Source organism: Homo sapiens, chromosome 3 (genome assembly GCF_000001405.40).
Source record: "Homo sapiens chromosome 3, GRCh38.p14 Primary Assembly".
Classification (NCBI taxonomy): Eukaryota; Metazoa; Chordata; class Mammalia; order Primates; family Hominidae; genus Homo; species Homo sapiens.
Window position 1 is genome coordinate 72643141 of NC_000003.12, and position 19718 is coordinate 72662858.

Genomic DNA, 19718 nt, shown 5'->3' on the forward strand with positions numbered 1-19718 from the left:
ACTTATTCAGTAAATACCTTATGAGCATGGGAAAGCAAACTGGTCCAACTACTTTGGAAAGCTGTACTGAAGTATCTAATACTATCTAATACTAAACATCCATTACCCTACAAGCCAACACTCTCACTACCAAGTACACACCCAAGAGAAATGAATGCACATGTCCACCAAGAGAGGAATCCAAGAATGCTCCTAGCAGCTTTATTCATGAGAGCCAAAAACCGGTCACAGCCGAAATGCCCATCAGGTCTAAGAGAGCTAAACTGTGCACATACTCTTGCACTGGAATCCCACACGGCAATAAATGAAAAGGATACATGATTGCTACATGCAACATGAGTGAAAATCATGGGCCTAGTGAAGGCTTCAGAGAAGAGTTCACATTTGTGTCAATCCAAGAAGCAGATGCCAGGATTAAATGTCCAAGAGCTGTATTAAGAGAAACACCTGAGAGGGAAGATGAGGAGGGAGCCAGGAGAAGCAGGAAATCATCAAACTGAGATGCAGGTCTGCCCCTCAGGAAGGAAAGAGGGAAAGAAGGAACATTGGATGGGAACATCTTAGACTACAGTGCAGGGCAGTTCTTTTTCTTTTTTTTTTTTTCCACTCTGTCACCCAGGCTGGAGTGCAGAGGCACGATCTCAGCTTACTGCAACCTCTGCCTCCCACGTTCAAGCAATTCTCCTGCCTCAGCCTCCAGAGCAGCTGGGATTATAGGCACCCACCACCACAGCAGGCTAATTTTTGTATTTTTAGTAGAGATGAGGTTTCACCATGTTGGCCAGGCTAGTCTCGAGCTCCTGATCTCAAGTGATCCTCCCACGTCGACCTCCCAAAGTGCTGGGATTACAGGCGTGAGCTACTGCGCCCGGCCTACAGTGCAGTTCTAAGGAAGGTTGGCAAGGCCCGTTGGGAGTCCTTGAGCCAAAATTGCTGTCAGAGGAGTTCCCTACCTCCTGGGAATGGGCCCGCACTAGCATCCCTGCTATACCCAGTCCAAGGGAGGAGCAGCCTGTGGGAAGATTTCCCTGCCCAAATGTTCTGATGGATTTTAGAGCCCAGCAAAACCGACTGTGGGTCAATCCCAGCAACCAGAAGTCTGGGAGATGCATTTTTATGGCCACCATAGCAGTGAACAGTTCCACACAGAAAGGTCAAGAACAGGCAAAATCAATGTAATGCAATGTGATAAAACCAGAATGGTGGTTATTTCCAGAATGGATTAGGGTTGGGGATTTAACTGAGAGAGGACATGAAGAGGCTCCCTGGGGTTGCTAAGAACATTCTATATTTGAGGCAGGTGGTGATTACATGAGTAAAAAAGTCTTTTGTGATATCACCTAAGGTTTGGACACCTTATTTACCTCCACGTGAAAAAATTTTTTAAAAGTATTTACTGAGCATGTGCTGCATGTCAAATGCTGTGCTCAGCCCTGGGCGCACTGGGGTGAAAGATGCAATCAGGGACACCATCTTCAAGGGACATGCAGCAAAGAGGATGCTCTAGAACATGAGACTAAGACAAGGAGGCTCATTAGGAAGCTGGCACGGCGTTCCCACTGAGCAGGGCAGCACCAGTGAGGCAGGACACAAGAGACTGCAGACATTCAAGTCCAAGACATATTTCTATAAAAATTCTTAAAAAGAGTAAAACAAAATGACTGACTTGCAAGAAATGGCAACTGGAGATATGAAAGAAAGTCAGGAACCATCGGAACTGCTTACAAAGGAAAATGTTTTTGGAGAGATCAATTACAGCAGAATTTCGTGCGGCTGTTCACTGCTGGGACCTCAGGGAGCCCTGAGCCCTGGGAATTACATCTTTCTGGAGTCAGGCTCATCTCCCCGGGCCCAGCAATCAGTTTCATTGGGTATAAAGGGATCCACTGGGAAATTATGTCTGATATTTTTCAAAGCCAGAAAGGGATTTCACACCTTTGTGAGGACTGCTGGAAGGCAGGTACAAGAATGTAGCCTCTCAGGGGAAGAAGTGCCAATTAGGGCCAATTAGAACTAAATTGGCCTGTCATTTGGCAGAAATGTGGAACAGCACCCTGTCCTGGAAAGCTGAGGATTTCTCCTGTGAGTTCATCTGCTCAGAGAAAGTTCTCTTTGGGAAAGTGCTTGAATTGATCACCCCTGAAGAAGGATCACTCATCCCGGACAAGGCTTGTGTTTTTCCAGTGCTTCTATTATCAGTGCTTCATTTCCAACCATTTTCAACTTGAGACTGTGATGTTGACTATCAGGCTCTGAAACAAAGCCTGTAAACATATATATATTTCAAACCAGCATGCTCTAAAATGTGAGTTCTCTGCGGCTTTTCAGAAGGAAGAATTATAAATAGAACATTTTACACTTATCTAACTTTTCCTAGTGTTTTTTTTTCTTTGAACTGTCCTATCTTTTCAGTCTGTGATAAATGGAAAAAAAAACAGTATTTATCTAATAATTTACTGTGTGGAGATGGCAGCATAATTGAGTCCCCCAAGTCAAGTGCTTTAGGAAAATTTCTATCAGGTGTCATCATGCTCCCTGGCCTAAGCTTTATTTAAACTCACTGGATCAATTTGAATCAATTTGACATGTACACACTTCAGGGCATGGTTAGTTTCAAATCAATTAAGCTCCTTATGACTTTATGATTAAGAACCCAAGGTTATAAAACATTAATATAAAAATCACAAATTATCAAGTGAAAAGTAAAATCTCCACCTAAGGTTTTGTACAGATCACCAGAATCATTATGTAAGCTTCATTAAACAAACAAGGTAAGAGTAATTAGGTGGTAAATTAAGTACAGTGGTTTCAAAAGACTCTAATTGGGACAAACTAGAGAAGTCCAGCACAGCCTTCAGCAGGATTCAAATCAACAGGGAACTTCTTAGAAGCCTGCCAGACCCTTGCAGCTCAGGAGCTCCACGTTTCTGTAAGAAGCAGAGAGTGGGGCCCAGACCTTGACTGACCCACCTTCCACCACCAAGAACAACATAAGGACCCATCTCCTTATCCCATCTCCTGCTCTGTGGCTGGAGCCAGCAGGCAGTCACTTGAAGCTATTTTAAAGATAGCAACGAAATGTGATTCTTGCTTTCTGGAATTACATGGAATTTTTCTCTACTGGTTTCTCTCCTGCCTTTGGAGCTCAGGGAAGGGAGATAAGAAGGAGGGAGTAAGTTAGTGTTTGCATTAAAGTAATTAATTAAAATTACGAAATTACAAGGGGGTATCTGCACTCCTGTGTTTATTGCAGCACTGTTCACAATCAGTGACCTAAGTGCCCATCAACAGATGAATTGATAAAGAAAATGTGGTACATATACACAATGGAATACTATTCAGCCATAAAAAAGAATGAAATCCTGCCATGTGCAACAACTTGGAGTAACATTAAGTGAAATAAGCCAGGCATAGAAAGACAATACCACACGATCTCCTTCATATGTGGAGCTCATAGAAGTAGAGAGTAGAATAAAGGTTACCAGAGGCTGGGCAGGGTAGGGGAGATGGAGGGAGGGGAAGATATTGGACAATGGGTACAGTGTTATAGGTAGGTAAGAGGAATGGGTTCTGGTGTTCTAATGCACAGTAAGGTGACTATAGTTAACAATAATGTATTGTATATTTTAAAAAAGGTAGACGGGAGGAATTTGAATGTTTTCACCACAAAGAACTGATGTGTGTGGTGATAAAAATGCTACATATGATTTGATCCCTACAGAACATATCCATGAAAGCTCACATTATACCCTATACATATATATGATTATGTGTCAATTAAAAATAAAATCTAAAAATAAATGATAATAAGGGCTTACCAAGTTCCAGATCATTTGATAAGTTAGATATAGATCATTTTCATTGGTCTTTACAACTCCCCCATGAGGATGAGGTAGGCACTCTTAATTCTCACTCTGTTTTAGAAATTGAAGCACAAAGAAGTTAGATAATGTCCTCAGGGTTACACAGCAAATAATAAGAACCCAGACCTGAGTGATTCCCAGGTTCTTCACTTCCAAATGGTAGAGAGGCCTCTATCATTTATTTATTTCAACACATATTAACTGGGGGCCTCTGCCTGCTCTGTACCAGGTGTTGTAGGGGCTAAAGATAATACAGTGTAAACAAAATAGCCAGGTTCCTGCCATCATGGGGTTTTCATTCCAGGGAAAAGAGACAACTGATAAGCAAATAAACAAACCAACAAACAGAGTGGTAATGCTCTGCAGAGAATATTTAAAGGGTAACATGATAGTAACTGGTGACTTTATTCATTGGATGGTCACCTCTTAAGAGATGGCATGTGAGCTGAGATGTGAATGACGAGACGATGCCGGCAATGCTGAGATCAAGGAGGAGAAAATCCCCGCCAAGGGGCAGCAGGTGCAGGGGTCCCAAGGAAGGAATGAACTGGTCACGAGCAAGGAACAGAAAGAAGGTCAGGCCTGCAGATTCAGGATGGCCACATCTTAGTCTATTTGCCACTCCCCCCACCTCTTTGACTCTGGTTATACCATGTTACTTGCTTTGACCAGTAGAATGCAGATGTAGTAACATTTCAGCTCCACGCTAAGGCCTTAAGAAGTCTGGCAATTCCCAATTTCACTCACCTGGATTCCTGAGCCAGCATGTAAAGGGATCCAGAGACAAGGTGGAGAGAAAGAGATGTCCAGGTGTCCTCCATGTGAGAGAGGTTGCTCCAGTTCCTGCAAAAGTCCAGGCCAAATGAGGCCACGAGTCACCTCCACCAACATCAGAGTAGAACAGAGATGAACCTCCCAGCTGAGCTCCACCAATTCACAGAATCATGAGGAATAATCCACAGTTGCTGTTTCAAGCCACTAGGTTTCAGGATGGTTTGTCTTGCCGCAGTAGATCATTAAAACAGCCAGTGTGGCCGAAGTTCAATGGAGCAAAGGGTGGTGTGGTAGATGATGATGCTGGAGCGGTTGACAGGGGCTGATCAGGCTGGGCCTGTAAGCCAGCATATGCAGTGAGGATGGATTTCTTTTCCTTCCTCCCTCCCTTCCTTCCTTTTTTCCTAACTTTCTTCCTTTCTTTCTTTTTTTTTTTTTTTTTGAGACAGGGTCTCACTTCGTTACCTAGGCTGGCACACTGTAGCTTTGACCTCTTAGGCTCAAGTGGTCCTCCCACCATGGCCTCCCAAGTAGCTGTGACTACAGGTGCATGCCTCCACATCTGGCTAATTTTTAAAAATTTCGTAGAGACAGGGTCTCACTATGTTGCCCAGGCTGGTCTCAAACTCCTGGGCTCAAATGATCCTCCTGCCTTGACCTCCCAAAGTGCCAATGAGCCACTGCACCCAGCCAGCAGTCAGGATTTTATCTGAAGTGTGATTAGGAGCAATCAGGTTTAAGCAGGTGGCCGGGCACCGTGGCTCACGCCTGTAATCCCAGCACTTTGGGAGGCTGAGGTGAGTGGATCACCTGAGGTCAGGAGTTTGAGGCCAGCTGGCCAACATGGTGAAACCCCATCTCTACTAATAATACAAAAGTGAGCCGGGTGTGGGGGTGGGCACCTGTAATCACAGCTACTCAGGAGGCTGAGGCAGGAGAATTGCTTGAACCTGGGAGGCAGAAGTTGCAGTGAGCCAAGATCGCATCACTGCACTCCAGCCTGGGCGACAGAGTGGAAAAAAAAAAAAAGAAAGTTTAAGTAGGAGTGTGACATGATCTTATGATTTCTATATTTTGTAAAGCTTATTCTGGCTGCTGCATGGGGAATGATTCGTAGGATGATCAGAGCAAAAATAAAAGCAAGGAAACTTCAGTCAGGTAGCTGTTGTGGTAATGTCAGCAAGAGATGATGGCTAATTGGACCAAGGTGGTAGCAGTGAAAATTCGGTGAACTGATTCATGTTGTTTTGGAGATAAAGTCGAAGTCAGATCTTGCTAGATGGAATGTGTTAGGGAAGGGAAATGAAGACTGAAAATAATTAAATGATCTTTGGCTTGAGGAACTGAGCTGATGGCACACTATTCTCTAAGATAGAGAAGACTGGGGAGCAGGAGCGGGTTTAGAGAAAAGAAAACAAGAGTGGTTCTAACCATGTCAAGTTTGAGGCATCAGTAAGATATCCAAGCGGAAATATCAAGTGGACAGTCGACTATAAGGATGAGGGACATAAGGCAGGGTCACTGCTGGAGAGATGTGGGAGTTATGGGAAAAGCATGACATTTGAAGCCATGGATTTAAAGAGAAATGTTTAGATAGGGAAGAAAATGGGGCTCTGGACTGAAATCCAGGGTGCTCTGATATTTGGAGATAAGGGGAAGGAAGATTTAGCCACAGAGGCAAAGAAAGAATAGCTAGTAAAGTGGGAAGAAAACCTGGGGTCTATGGGGTCACAGAAACCAGAATAAAGTCAGTAGAGGAGGAAGGAAGGAATCAAATGGAATCAAATAAGATGAGAACAGACATATCCATTGGTTCAGACGACACAGAAATCAATACGAGAGTCCCCCACACAAGGAACCATCCAGAAGGATCACACATTTCAGAAGATAGTGGCATAGATCAGAAATTAGTTCCCACCACTCCCTCACCAATGCCAGAAACCCCGTAAATCTTTGATCAGTACAGGAGGGAAAGAGAATAAAAGGATCCTGAATTGACTTGAGTTTAAACTTAAAAAGAGAGCATTTCCCCACAGATGCCAACAGGAAGAATGAGGGCTCAAAGGGTGATATATATAAATGAGTTATAGAAATGGGGAACAGAAATATAAAGAATGTTGGCCAGGCATGGTGGCTCATGCGTGTGATCCCAGCATTCTGGGAGGCTGAGGCAGGCAGACCACTTGAGTTCAGGAGTTTGAGACCAGTCTTGCCAATACGGCGAAACCCCATCTCTACTGAAAATACAAAAATTAGCCAGGAGTGATGGCGGGCACCTGTAATCCCAGCTACTTGGAAGGCTGAGGCATGAGAATCGCTTGATCCCAGGATGTGGAGGCTACTGTGAGCCAAGATCGTGCCACTGCACTCCAGCCTGGGCCACAGAGCGAGAATCCATCTCAAAACAAAAGAGACAAAACAAAACAAAAAAACCTCATGTGTATATATATATATAGAGAGAGAGAGAGAGAGAGATTGAGAGAGAGAGAGTGAGAGAGTTAAATTTGCTATATGACTTGAATACATGGCTCAAAAACATCAAACCTAGGCTGGCTCATTCCTGTAATCTCAGCACCTTGGGAGGCCGAGATAGGAGGACTGCTTAAGGACAAGAGTTCAAGACTAGCCTGTGCAACAAAATAAGATCCTATCTCTACAAAAAATAAAATAAAATAAAAATCATATCTGCTGCATCAGTACCCAGACCCTTCCCAGAGAAGGGGCAGCCTTGGCCTGGGTAGGATCTACAGTGGCAGTGCTCAAAGGATCCCCTCAAAGGAAATTTGGCAATGTCTGGGAACATGTAAAGTTGTCACAATGTAGGGAGGGTGCTACTTGCATCTAATGGGTAGAGGCCAGGGATGCTGCTAGACATCCTACAATGCACAGCACAGCCCCGCCCCAGCCAATCCCCAACATAGAATTATCTAGCCCCAAATGTCAATAGTGCCAAGGTCAAGAAACCTTGGCCTACAGGAAGTCCTAGCTGTACAGAGAGAAATTAACTCATCATAAGGCACTAGTAAAGAAAACCAGGAGCCTAACTTTCCTCCTCATCTAGGTAACCACCTCCATCTTGCTTCATCCCATTGACCAGACTGTAGAGTTAGCAAGGCCAGAGTTCTTGTTTCAGCCTCTTATTGATCATTTATTCACTTGTGCTCCTTCTGGGACAACAGCTTATACCCCAAGTTCAAAAGACCTCTCACCCAGCCCAAGAAGAGACTGTGAGCAACCCAGTCAGAGCACTAGTTCGAAAGTTTTCAGATATAAAGAACTCTCTTCCAATGCCAAGAACTGTTATAGACCTTTACACTGTAGTAGTTGTACTTCAGCTTCTGTTGGCTGAGGAAATAACAAGAAGCTACCATATTTTCAGTACCACTTTAAAAGAACTGTGGAAGAATTACTTTTATTGGTAGCACTACACCTAATGTAACTGGACTGTGTTAATGGCTGAGTGGGATTTTTCCTGTTGTTCTGAAATTTCTGCTAAGGCCCAGAGCTGAAGACAAAGGATACCCATCTTCCAAATTCAGAGCTCTGACCCTTGAGAATCAAAAGGACCAGCTACCTTCCCTCAGGGCTTTATTTGGGGTAACTGTAGGAGAATCACCACCTCCACCATCACTTCTACCACTCTTACCACAATTACCACCTCTACTACCATCACCTCCGCTATCTTCACCACCATCTCCACCATGGCCACCACCGTCAATGCCTTCACCACCATCACCATCACCATCATCAACATCTCTACCATCACCACCATCTGTATTATCACATCCACCCCTACTACCATCATCTCCACTACCCTCACCACCATCAATGCCTTCATCACCATCACCATCAGCAGCATCTCCACCATCCCTGCCACCTGTGTCATCACATCTACCATCACCATCATTACCACCTCTACCACCACTACCTCCACTACCCTCATCACCATCTCCACCACAGCCACCACAGTCAATGCCTTCAACACCATCACCATCATCAACATCTCTACCATCACCACCATCTATACCATCACATCCACCACCATCACCATCATTACCACCTCTACCACCACCACCTCCACTACCCTCATCGCCATCTCCACCAGCCACCACCGTCAATGCCTTCATCACCATCACCATCATCACTATTTCCACCATCACCTCCAGCACTATCTCCATCACTGTCACCACCACCACCATCAGCACTGTGGAGAGAGGACCTCATATTTTGGGATAGTGCAGTATTTTTGAAGAGAAGCCTTTTCCTTCCTCCTTTCCTTTTGATAACAAAGTGTGTTGTGACCTCCAAAGAAAGGAGAGGAGACCCAGAGAGTATCCTGCTAATGACTAGCAGTATCCATAGGTAAAGAAGATTGGAATTTCACTTCCTAATGGGAGGACCTGCTGACTTTCCTCTGTGTGACCAGAAAGAAGATGATAAAATTGGGGTGGGATGGCATAATGGAGTCCATGAGAAAGAGAGTCCCTAGCTCAGTCTAGTTCCCTAGTTTTTCAGAAGTGTACAGTTGGAGTTCATACAAACCCAGAGGTCCCAAAGTTGGCCATGGAAGATAGAAGAGCAAAGACCCTACATCCTCACAGAGAGGATTATGGTGGGGTCAGCTAGGAGGTGTGGGCAGGTCTAGGAAGGAACCAACAACACCCTGGGAGATGCTGAGAAGTGAGCCCCTTGCAAGGCCAACGACATGAAGCCCACAGAACCCTGGAGCAATGAAAGCTCTAAGCCACCAAAGAGAGGCCCACAGCCTCACCAGCAGGTCCAGGCAAGAGATGTGGGAGGCATTTCCTCTCCTTCCTGCCAGCCCCCACCCTCGAGGAGTCAACAAAAGGAGGAGAGAGGGCAAAGGGTATGAGAGAATCATCCTCACTTCCCCTCCTCACCCCAGGAATCATAGTTCATGCGTGCCCCAGGGCAAGTGCAGGAAAAGGCTTTCTATCCAATGTAAGACTGAAGCGTTCTTTTTCTTTTCTTTTCTTTCTCTTTCTCTTTTTCTTTCTTTCTTTCTTTTTTCTTCTTTTTTCTTTCTTTCTTTCATGGGTTTTTTTTTTAACTACACCCCCATTTCAGCAATATAGACTGAAGTATTAAAATGAGCAGGACAGGGCCTTTAAAAACTAAAGTGATGGTTTTAGTAAAGGAACTGGTAAATTACAGAATCCAGCTGAATTACTACTAAGGATGTTTAGCCATGGAAAATGTTATGGAAGCTGGGTTAGGAGCAATAGTTGGAAACAATAAAACCAGTTCTTGTTATACCACCAATGAATTGAGACACACAGGTTACAATGTACTTGTAACTTGCCCAGAGTCCCATAACTCACCTGACTCCAGAGCCTGGGTGCTTAGCTAATCCCTGGATAGATGAGAAAAGACCAGCTTATCATGGGAGCTGTTGGCTGAGATGGTGGATCAGGGAGTCTAGGTGGAAAGGACCCGAGGAGTCCTAGCGTGGAAGGGAGAGCATGAACCGGGTATGGAAGCCTCAAGGAAGCTGCAACCGCCTTCCTTGTGCCAGGCAGTGAGCTGGGCTTTCATCTCATGCTTATACCACCCTGTTTGGTGGGCACAGTTAGTACTCTCATCCCTACTTTGCTGACAAGAAATTAAGGCTCCCACCAAGGCCACATAGCAACTAACTGACAGAGTTAGGGTTCAAACCTAGGTTACTTTGACTTGAAAATCTAATACTCTAACCAGGACCCTGATTCCTTTAGAATGCCTTATCACAACAGCAGAAACCACATCACACTGTTATGCATGGAGAATCACAGGCTGCAAACTCAACCATGAGTGAACATTTCTCCAGTTTTTTGACAACTAAAGTGAATTTCTTTATCAGGTCCCTGATCCTGGAGGTGGGAGAAACAAAATCACTGTTATTTAAGAATTTCCTTGAGTCTCCCTTAGGTTGAGTCCAAGTTCTGGAGGCCCTCAGGAGCACCCAGGCATGGGAGGCGAGGGTGGTTGCAGCTTCCTTGAGTCTTCCATACCCGGTTCATGCTCTCCCTTCCACACTGGGACTCCTCAGGTCCTTTCCGCCTAGCCTCCCTGATCCACCATCTCAGCCAACAGCTCCCATGATAAGCTGGTCTTCCCTCATCTATCCGGGGATTAGCTAAGCTCTGGAGTCAGGTGAGTTATGGGACTCTGGGCAAGTTACTTAACCAGTTTGTGCCTCGATTTCTCCATCTGTAAAACTGATTATCTCACGGGCTTCTTAGAGGATTTAAAAAGACAATATTTGCGGAATGCTTAGAACAGTGCCTGGCCCATCATAAATGCTTAACTAAAGCTAACTACCATTTTGGGGGAACAGGAGGGAGGGAAAAAATGACTCTCACTAATTAAGTCTTTTTCTTATGCCTGGAGAGTAGCTTTTAACATTCAAAATGCCAAAACTGGCCAGGCATGCTGACTCATGCCTGTAATCCCAGCAGTTTGGGAGGCTGAGGTGGGAGGATCACTTGAGCCCAGGAGTTCAAGACCACCCTGGGCAACACAAGAAAACCCTGTCTCTACGAAAAATTTATTAAACAAAAAGCCAAAACTTTAATCTTTCTATTCTCTGAATTCTGTAGCACCCTTTCTTCCCATATACAATACAGGCAAATTGTCTGGCTTCACAAATTGGGGTTGGAGTATGGTTAATATCTCAAAATTCTACCCTGCCTAGTCATAGGTGGACAGTTCTGTCTGAGACCCTAAGAGCTGCCCTGCAATAACTCTGACCCACACCCCCCCACCCCCGACACACACACTCCCACCACCTCCATCATCATTATCCACAGGTTAGAATTTTCTGGCATATTACTCTCCTACAACATTTCAGAGTTTATCCTGCAGCCACATTCATTCACTCAATCCTTATCATGACCTTTGAAAACAAAAGCAGATTTGCTTTTCAGCCACCATCTTTTTACACTAACAAAAATGTTTGCATTTATAGAAAACGTCAAACATATATATATATATATAAGTAGACAGAACAGGACCGTAAACACTCTCGGACCCATGGCAAATTCGGCTTGGCCCATCCCTACCACATATTTTGAAGCGTATCTCAGAGATCCTATCATTTCATCTGTAAATATCAGTGTGTGTTTCTAAAGGCTAAGAATGGTCTTTTAAAACACAGTACCATGAACGCAACTTAAAAAAAAAATGATTCCTTTATATCATCAAATTGCCTTCAATCCTATCAGAGTTCAAATTTTCAACAGCATCCGTTTTGACAAATCAGGGTTGGGGTTCCTAAACCCATTAGGGAAGAAATACACCTCCAAAATTGTTCTGTGGAACAACCCGAGGCTCTCCGGAAGGGTAATTGGACCCCTCCCATTCCTTCACAGACAGGAATGTATTAGCCAAACCTACCGCGATTTTGCCGGGAGGACGCCAAAAAAGACGATCACGTGTCAAATAACCATGGAAACGGGGTGACAAAAGGAACTTATGCCTTCGCTCCCTTGTTTAGACAGAGCAATCAAGGAGCTGCTGTCCTTGCAGCGGGGAGGCCGGCGCCGCCTGCGGTCGCACACACCTGAATTCCTGCACCGGGGCAGCCCTTGGCCCCCCGTGAGCACCGCCGGGCCTCGTCCATGGCTGTCAGGACCCGGGATTAGCACGTGGGCTCCTGCGGGGACTTGGGCTGACCGCAAGCGCTAGAAGAATTGGAATCACTAGACTTCCATTGTTAGTTTCTTCCAGTGGTTCAGCGGACAATTTTGAACTGAATCCAGCAGAGAACTCATCGGAGGTTTTTTGTTTTTTGTTTTAAGTAGTAGTGATACCATTTCATCCGATTCCAATGCTAGTCATTTACATGATCAGCCTCTGATATAATTAACCCAAGGGCAATTCCAAGCCTGGACCCTTGAAATGACTGCCGTATTAGATTTGTGGTCTAGAATGTCTTTCCTTCAGACACCTTACATAAATCAAGGTGCCAGTAAATCAAAAATGGAGTGATCCTATTTTTATTTTTTTTAAATATATGTACAGAAATACTCTCATAGCAGATGCTACTGGCGCTCTGCCGCTACCCTCTTGGCATTGGTGCTCCTGGGGCTCTCTGCCCAGGCCTCTCTAGGACTGCAGGAGGTGGGCAGGCCTGAAGTCAGGGGGAGCCTGCAACCAGGCAGGGACGCCCTACGGGAGAAAAAGCACCTTGGGGAGGGTGTTCTAGAGCGCCCCCCACAGGTCCCAAACAGGACTGAGCTCAGCTGTGCATGGGGCTAACCTGTTAATCACAGGCTTCCCAGCCCTGTCCATCTCACTTCCCCACTTCTCCATCAGTGCTTCCTGGGATTATCTCCCGACAGAGGGCAAACACCTCATCCTGGGAACCCCCAGCCCCAGGCAAACCAGGACAGTGGTCAGCTTGCCTCCCACATAAAACACTTGCACCGAAATCCTAGTCTCAGGTTGGCTTCTGGGGTACCTCGACCTACGGAATAATCCCTATGCTGGGAAGAGTCTGGAATGAGACATAAATCTTAACTGGGTTTTTTTTCTTTTAATAGACATGGGGTCTCACTATGTTGCCCAGGCTGGTCTCCAACTCCTGGCCTCAAGTGATCCTTCCGAAGTGGATATGAAGGTGCTGGGATTACAAGTGTGGGCCACCACACCTGGCTTAACTGGGTATTCTCTGTGAGCTGAGCCCTCTAAAGGTGGGCAGTGGGGCAGTGCTGGACTCCTTGGGTATTTGGAGGAGGAAGTAAAGGTAGGTTTGTCATCAAATCTGTATCTGACATTTTTACAAAGAACATATATCATTTTTAAAAATATATAATAAAAACCTGAGCTTTTTAAAACTATCAGCAAATATTTGTTTTATAATTTTTAAAGAGTCATTCCATTTAAGTTTTTTAAAAAGAAGGAAAGAAATGGTTTAAAAACATTTTAATGATAATTTAGGGCAATAGTTTACAAATTTTTTAAGTTTCTGATGGAATCCTACATAGTATTCCAGTTACAACCTGATATGAGTGGAACTGCTGTGATGAAAACTGGGCTCTAGGGCCTGGAACTCCCCCCACCCAACTCCTTTCCCCACCCCAGGTAAGCAGTAGGTACATCTAAGGAACCCTGAGGGTTTCGTCCATCCCAGTGTGAAAAACCACTGTTAAAGAGGAATATTTAATTGCATTAAAAAATATTAACTTTTTACTTTAAAACATGTTATGAAATGAAAAGAGCAATTCAAAAAATAGCACTTATGGTACGATCTTGATTTTATGAACAACAACAACAAAATACATGTACTCACATACAAAGAAAAAAGACTGAAAGGAAGGCCAGGCATGGTGGCTTATGCCTGTAATCCCAGCACTTTGGGAGGCCAAGGCAGGCGGATCACTTGAGGTCAGGAATTTGAGACCAGCCTGGCCAACATGGTGAAACCCCGTCTCTACTAAAAAACACAAAAATTAGCTGTGTGTGGTGGTGTACCCCTGTAGTCCCAGCTACTCAGGAGGCTCAGGCAGGAGAATTGCTTGAACTTGGGAGGTGGAGGTTGCAGTGAGCCAAGATTGAGCCACTGCACTCCAGCCTCGGTGACAGAGCTAGACTCTGTCTCAAAAAAAAAAAAAAAAAAAACTGGAAGGAAGTATACCAAATAATATTAATGGTGATTATCTCAGGAGGGCTGGATTACTATTTTTTATTTTCTGTGCCAGTACTATATTACCTGAATTTTCTACTGGTATGTATATATGATATATTATTCTAAGGAGGGGAAGAACAGAAAAAAATGGTTCCTAAGTCACATGCAGACAATAGCAGTCTCCAGACTAGATGTTCATTGTTTTTAGGTGATGATCTGAGGAGCAGAGGCTTTCCAAGTTTAGAGATTTAGCTACTGAAGACTTCATAATTCAAGTTGTAGCCTGTCAATTCGATGCTCAGTGAAGTCTTTGAAGTTTCTGATAATGATGTATGAGCACTGCCTATAAAATAAGCAAGACAAGGGGTAACTCTCTCTGCCCCACCCCCTGCAGTGGAGCGGTTCAGGGTAGGAAGAGGGCAGCACTTCCCATCACTGTGGGTGCAGTCAGTTCAAACTCATGACTGAAGAGCCTTTGAAGGGAGACTGGAGCATTGCCAAACCAAGGCTTCAGTAGAGAATTACAGTGGTTAAGTCAGTGGTTCCCCAACCTGGCCGCCCATTCGATCACCTGCAGAGCTTATTATAAATGGGTTCCTGGCCCCACCCACTTATCCTCAGATTCAGGAGGTCTTGATACTTAGAATCTGCCTTTTTAACAAACACGCCAGGGGGTCCTCGTGTGTCTCCTTAATGAAGTTCATCATCACTGTGAGTTTGTGAGCTCTAGGAATCTATATGCCTTATTTGCTACTATAACCCAGATACTGTGTGCAGAGTCCTAATGCTCTGTAAATATTCCGGGAGGAAATTATTTATTGAAGGCTCACTTTGTGCCTGACGTTTTGCTAAGTGGTTTCAAGGCCAGTTACTTTAATCACAACTCAAGGGAAGTATTCCAATACCCATTTTGTAGATGACAAAGTGGACTCAGAGAACTTAAGAAGCTAGCCTGAGGCCCCTTAGAAAGAAAGAGAGGCAGCATCCGAATCCTGGTCTGAGGTCCAAACTCCAGCTTATCACATTCAGCCACACCACTTCTAGAAGGTTCCATGGCGTTTCTTTTCTTGAGAGAAAAATAGAATTGTAATTCTCCATTCACCTTCCTCTTCTCCTATCATCTACCTGCTCATCTGTTTGTCTACACACACACACACACATTTCAAGATTGACCATCATCTAAAATGGCACCAGAACTCACCCCAGGACATGCTATACAGAGGTTTATACTCATACTTTCCTGACTTCTTGTTGTAACATGTCTTTTCTAAGCTAAAGGAAACCAGTTATTCCTCGTTCCAGTTGTAATTATCTTACTTATTTTAAAGTAGTTGTTGCAAACTAGCCTAAGCAATTTGGCTATTCAAACTACTAGGTGTTTGATCATGATGGCTTCCTGCAATAGGTAAGAAGTCCATGAAGGCTACAAGCTACCTCCCCCGATCACCTAATCAGATAGTATGTTACAAAGACAGTCTGTCTCAGACCAAATTCCACATTTTGCTAACTGGTTTCAAGGCCAGCAAGCAGGCACATAAACAGCCACACCACCCATTCTGTTAACCCGGGGACATGTCAGCCCTCTCACTTTAGACACTTCGACAGCCTCTTTCACAAAAAGTGTAGTCAAGGCACACGTGACACTATTGTCAGCGCAGTATCTAGCCTAGTCAGGCAGGTGATCAAATCAACCCTTTAATATATAGACATAGGACTGTTTGGACTTCCAAGGCTGGAGCCTTTCTAAAAGAATAAGCAACTGGTCTGGCTAGACTTATTTATAATGTCTTCAGGCAAGGCAAACGCACTATGAAACATTTCCAGCCATCTACCATTCTTGAACGCCATTCTTTTCATCAATGAAAAACCATTTTAGAAATCCATTATGCTAATTAACACACCCATGGATGCTGAGCTAGGACAGATAATTGAAGCACTTATGGTACCTTCCTCTGGAGTGTGGGGTTGTGATCTTTCGAATGTTAACAGCCCCTACAATGTAGATGAAAGCTAACACATACACACACACCCCATGCATACATGTGCACAGAGACATGGTGTATGAAATATGCTTTATGTTTAGAAGTAAATTACAGTCAATATATCAGTCATAACCACCACCATCTGATGAGAACTTACCGTACGCCCAGTACTGTGCTAAAGGTTTGACCAAACAAGAAAATGTATCTTCTCTGATCCTCACTGAAGAGACTGAGAGCCCAGAAAAGCCATCGAGGAAGGACAAGCTGGCCTCGCACTCTGGCTGACTTGACAGCCATTCATCTTAGTGACTCCAGGAGGCTGGTTGCCTGTGAGTTCTTCTGGGCCTCCTGGGAATTCCCCCATCATCATCAACAACAATTTTTCACTCTTGGCTCAAAACCTTGAACAATAAATAAAATCCTGATCCCCAGAAAGTATTCCACAGCATGACTCCTGAACATAATTGATTCTGAAGGAGGCTTGGGAACTCCTCCTGGGTGACAACTGTGTTATATCTGGAAACATGCCAGGCAGCCGGCTCTGTGAGCCTACCAAGCCCAAGGGTAGCCAGAACTCAAATGTCTGCTGCTCCCCATTAGGCCTCCACATGGGAGCCCCCTTCTTCTGCCACCCTCTGCTTTGTGTCTGTGTTTGAATTTATCAGCCACCCCAATGGGTTGGGTACAGAAGCTGAAGAGGAGGCCAGCCAACCATCATCCAGGAGTGTCCTTGCCTCCTGCCAGGGAGGGGCAAGGACTTGGCCATTTCAGTAATGAACTACTGTGCTGTCAGGGCAGAAAAGAGAAGGAACAGGTCATCGGGGGTGGTGAGTAGTCAGAGTCTGGAGACAGTATGAAGGGAGAGTGAAAAGAACTTGCTGATGAATTCAACAAAGAGTTACAAGAAGGAGAGGAGGCAAGACCGACTTGAAGATTTGGGGCCTATGCCAAGAAGAATAAAGCTACCACTGACCACCTGGGGAAGACTCAAGTGGGGAATAGCTGGACATGTAGGGTTTGAAATGCCTGTTACATATCTGAAGTACACTCATTTTCTGTGACTGGATAACAGATTACCCCACACTTTGCAGCTAAAACAATGCCCATGTATTAGCTCATAGTTCTGGAAGTCAGTAGTCCAGGTAGACTCAACTGAGTTCTCTGGGCAGGTTATCAGAAGGCTGAAATCAGGTGGTAGCTGGCCTAGGGTCCTGTGTGAACGCTCTGAGGAAGCATCTCATTGCAAATGTATTCTCTGTGTTGGAAGACTCTGTTCCTTGCATGCGTGGGCCCAAGCTCCCTGTTCCCTTGGTGGCTGTCAGCTATGGGCCACTCTTAGCTTCCAGAAGCTTCCCATAGTCCTTACTGCAGGACTCCTTTCAACTTCAAGCCAGAAAGCCTGGGTCAAATTCTTCTCCTGCTTCCAACTTCTCACTTCCTCTTCTGCCACCAGTCAGAGAAAACTCTAGGATTAGATCAGGCCTCCTTGAATAATCTCCCCTTCTTAGGATCAAGTGTGCCATAGGACATCACCTAATCATGGGAGCAAAATCCAGCATATTCACAGGTCTGGGGATTAAGCAGGGTACACACAGTGGGGTGGGGTGAGACGGCAGAAAGTCTTGCGTGCTTCCTTAGAATTTTGCCTGCCACCCAAGGGGAGATGTAGAGGAGACATTCTCTTTCAGAAACTTCCAGGGCTGAAGGATGGGGCAGAAGGAGGAGGGGAGGAACCCATCTGGATCTCTTTAGCCTCTGGAACCTGAAGCACTCAGGAAAGAAGGCCTGGCCCTTTGAAGCTGCCCCTGCCAGGCCCCACAATGGGCCAGCCCTGCCAGCCCTCCTGCACAGGCCCTGAGGCATCTTGGCAGCAGCATCCCCGAGTCTGGCAGGTGAGTCAACATTTGGCTTCTCTCCTGGGCTTTCTTGGAAAGGGCTGTGTTCCAGATTGGCAGCTGTGCTAGCTGGAAAGGAGGCCAGAAAAGAGCCAAGTTCCGGGGGCCCTGCTGCCAGGCAGGACACCTGGACCTTCTCTCCCCTAGTTACTGAAAATGGCAGAAGGAAACCCAGGGAAGCCAGAGCAGTAGTAAAGCAGAGTGGCCAAAAAATTTCAGGCTATGGAGTCAGATGGATGACTTAGCCTCTCAATTTCCCCATCTGTAAAATGGGAATCGTCATTAGTAGCTGCAATGAAGGGGCCTGTGACAATTGAACAGCGTGCTACCTGCAAATCATTTTGCACAATGGCTGGCATATCGAAAACATGAGTAAAGCCTGCACAATGGATACTATTAACTGAAGGGGAAATGCCTGGCAAATAGAGGTGGTTCAACCAGGTGGAATTAAAAAGGAGAAAGGGATTAGGTGAAGGGGACAAAGGGATAGCCAACCCCTTTTATAAGAAACTCTCATAATAGTGGAATGTAAGTTGGTTGTTTCTCTAATGACTTATGAATATACAAAGCCCCATTGCTAAACCCCTAGGCATGATGGATTTTGATTGGGCCGCAGTGTAAATTTGGATATGATATTCCCAGGACTCCTGGGTAGTAAGATTGGATTTCTGCTACCTATAGAAATTCAAGAGGGAAGGGAGGGAAAGCAATAGAAGACTATTGTGTTGATGTGTTGTAGGCCACGTTTGGTTGCAAAGAATAGAACCGCCTAAGATAATGGGGTAGAGTAACATTTGGGGCATTTAATGGTGGGTTCACACCATACTTCTGTACTCATCAAATTTCTCTGCTGCATCCTAAAAACCTCTCTCCCCCAACTGCTATCCCCAGCCTGCTCAGCAAGAAACGAGTCAGTTACTCCGTAGGGAAATAAAGCAAGGACTGCATTTACTCCCGGGCAGCACAGTGGGAGAATGAAAATCACAGGCTCCACTAGGTTTGCTCCAAGGAGCTTGGGATTTCTTCAGTCACAACCAAATCATCTCTCTTGTCTGGCAAGGACCACCAGACCTCAATAATCATCCAGTTTGCAGTGACATGTCCCATGGCTAACACCCTCCCCCCATCATGCCCACCCCACAACAATGGGCAGGACAAAAGCCTTCTTGGACAGGTGACCAGCTGAGACCACTGAACCCACTGAGAGTAGTGAGTGGAATAAAAATAAGGTCTTATTCCTGATCAAGGTGGATAAGTTGAGATCAGTTTGAAATCCTCATTGACTGGGGCTCCAGACGTGCTTATTCAAAGTATATAGTAGGCAATCCGGTGGGCACCCAGCAACGGGAGATCAAGATAGCCAGGCCCGCCACTGCATGTCAACTCAGTCCCCTTTTCCCTTTACAGACTAGCATGCCTTCTCTCTGCCTTCCTAAGAGACAGTACACAGCATTAAAGTCACTGCCCCAACCCGGCTGTACATGATCTTTCAGGTCAAATGCCAAGCACTATCTAAGTGTAGTTATGTGTCTCTTAGTTCACACATTTGACAGACAAGTTGGTTGGCTCACAGACT

The 19718-nt window shown here is 45.1% G+C and overlaps 1 long non-coding RNA gene across 1 annotated transcript in view; it reads right to left on the reverse strand.

Moving 5' to 3' along the window:
• The window catches only part of LOC105377161 (uncharacterized), a 134312-nt gene that overhangs the window by 61011 nt on the left and 53583 nt on the right, over positions 1 to 19718 (reverse strand). The window contains exons 6-7 of the long non-coding RNA XR_940962.3: positions 4611 to 4706; positions 3819 to 3914 (exon numbers count right to left, since the gene is read on the reverse strand). This is a non-coding gene — a long non-coding RNA (uncharacterized LOC105377161). The remainder of the gene's footprint in view (positions 1 to 3818; positions 3915 to 4610; positions 4707 to 19718) is intronic.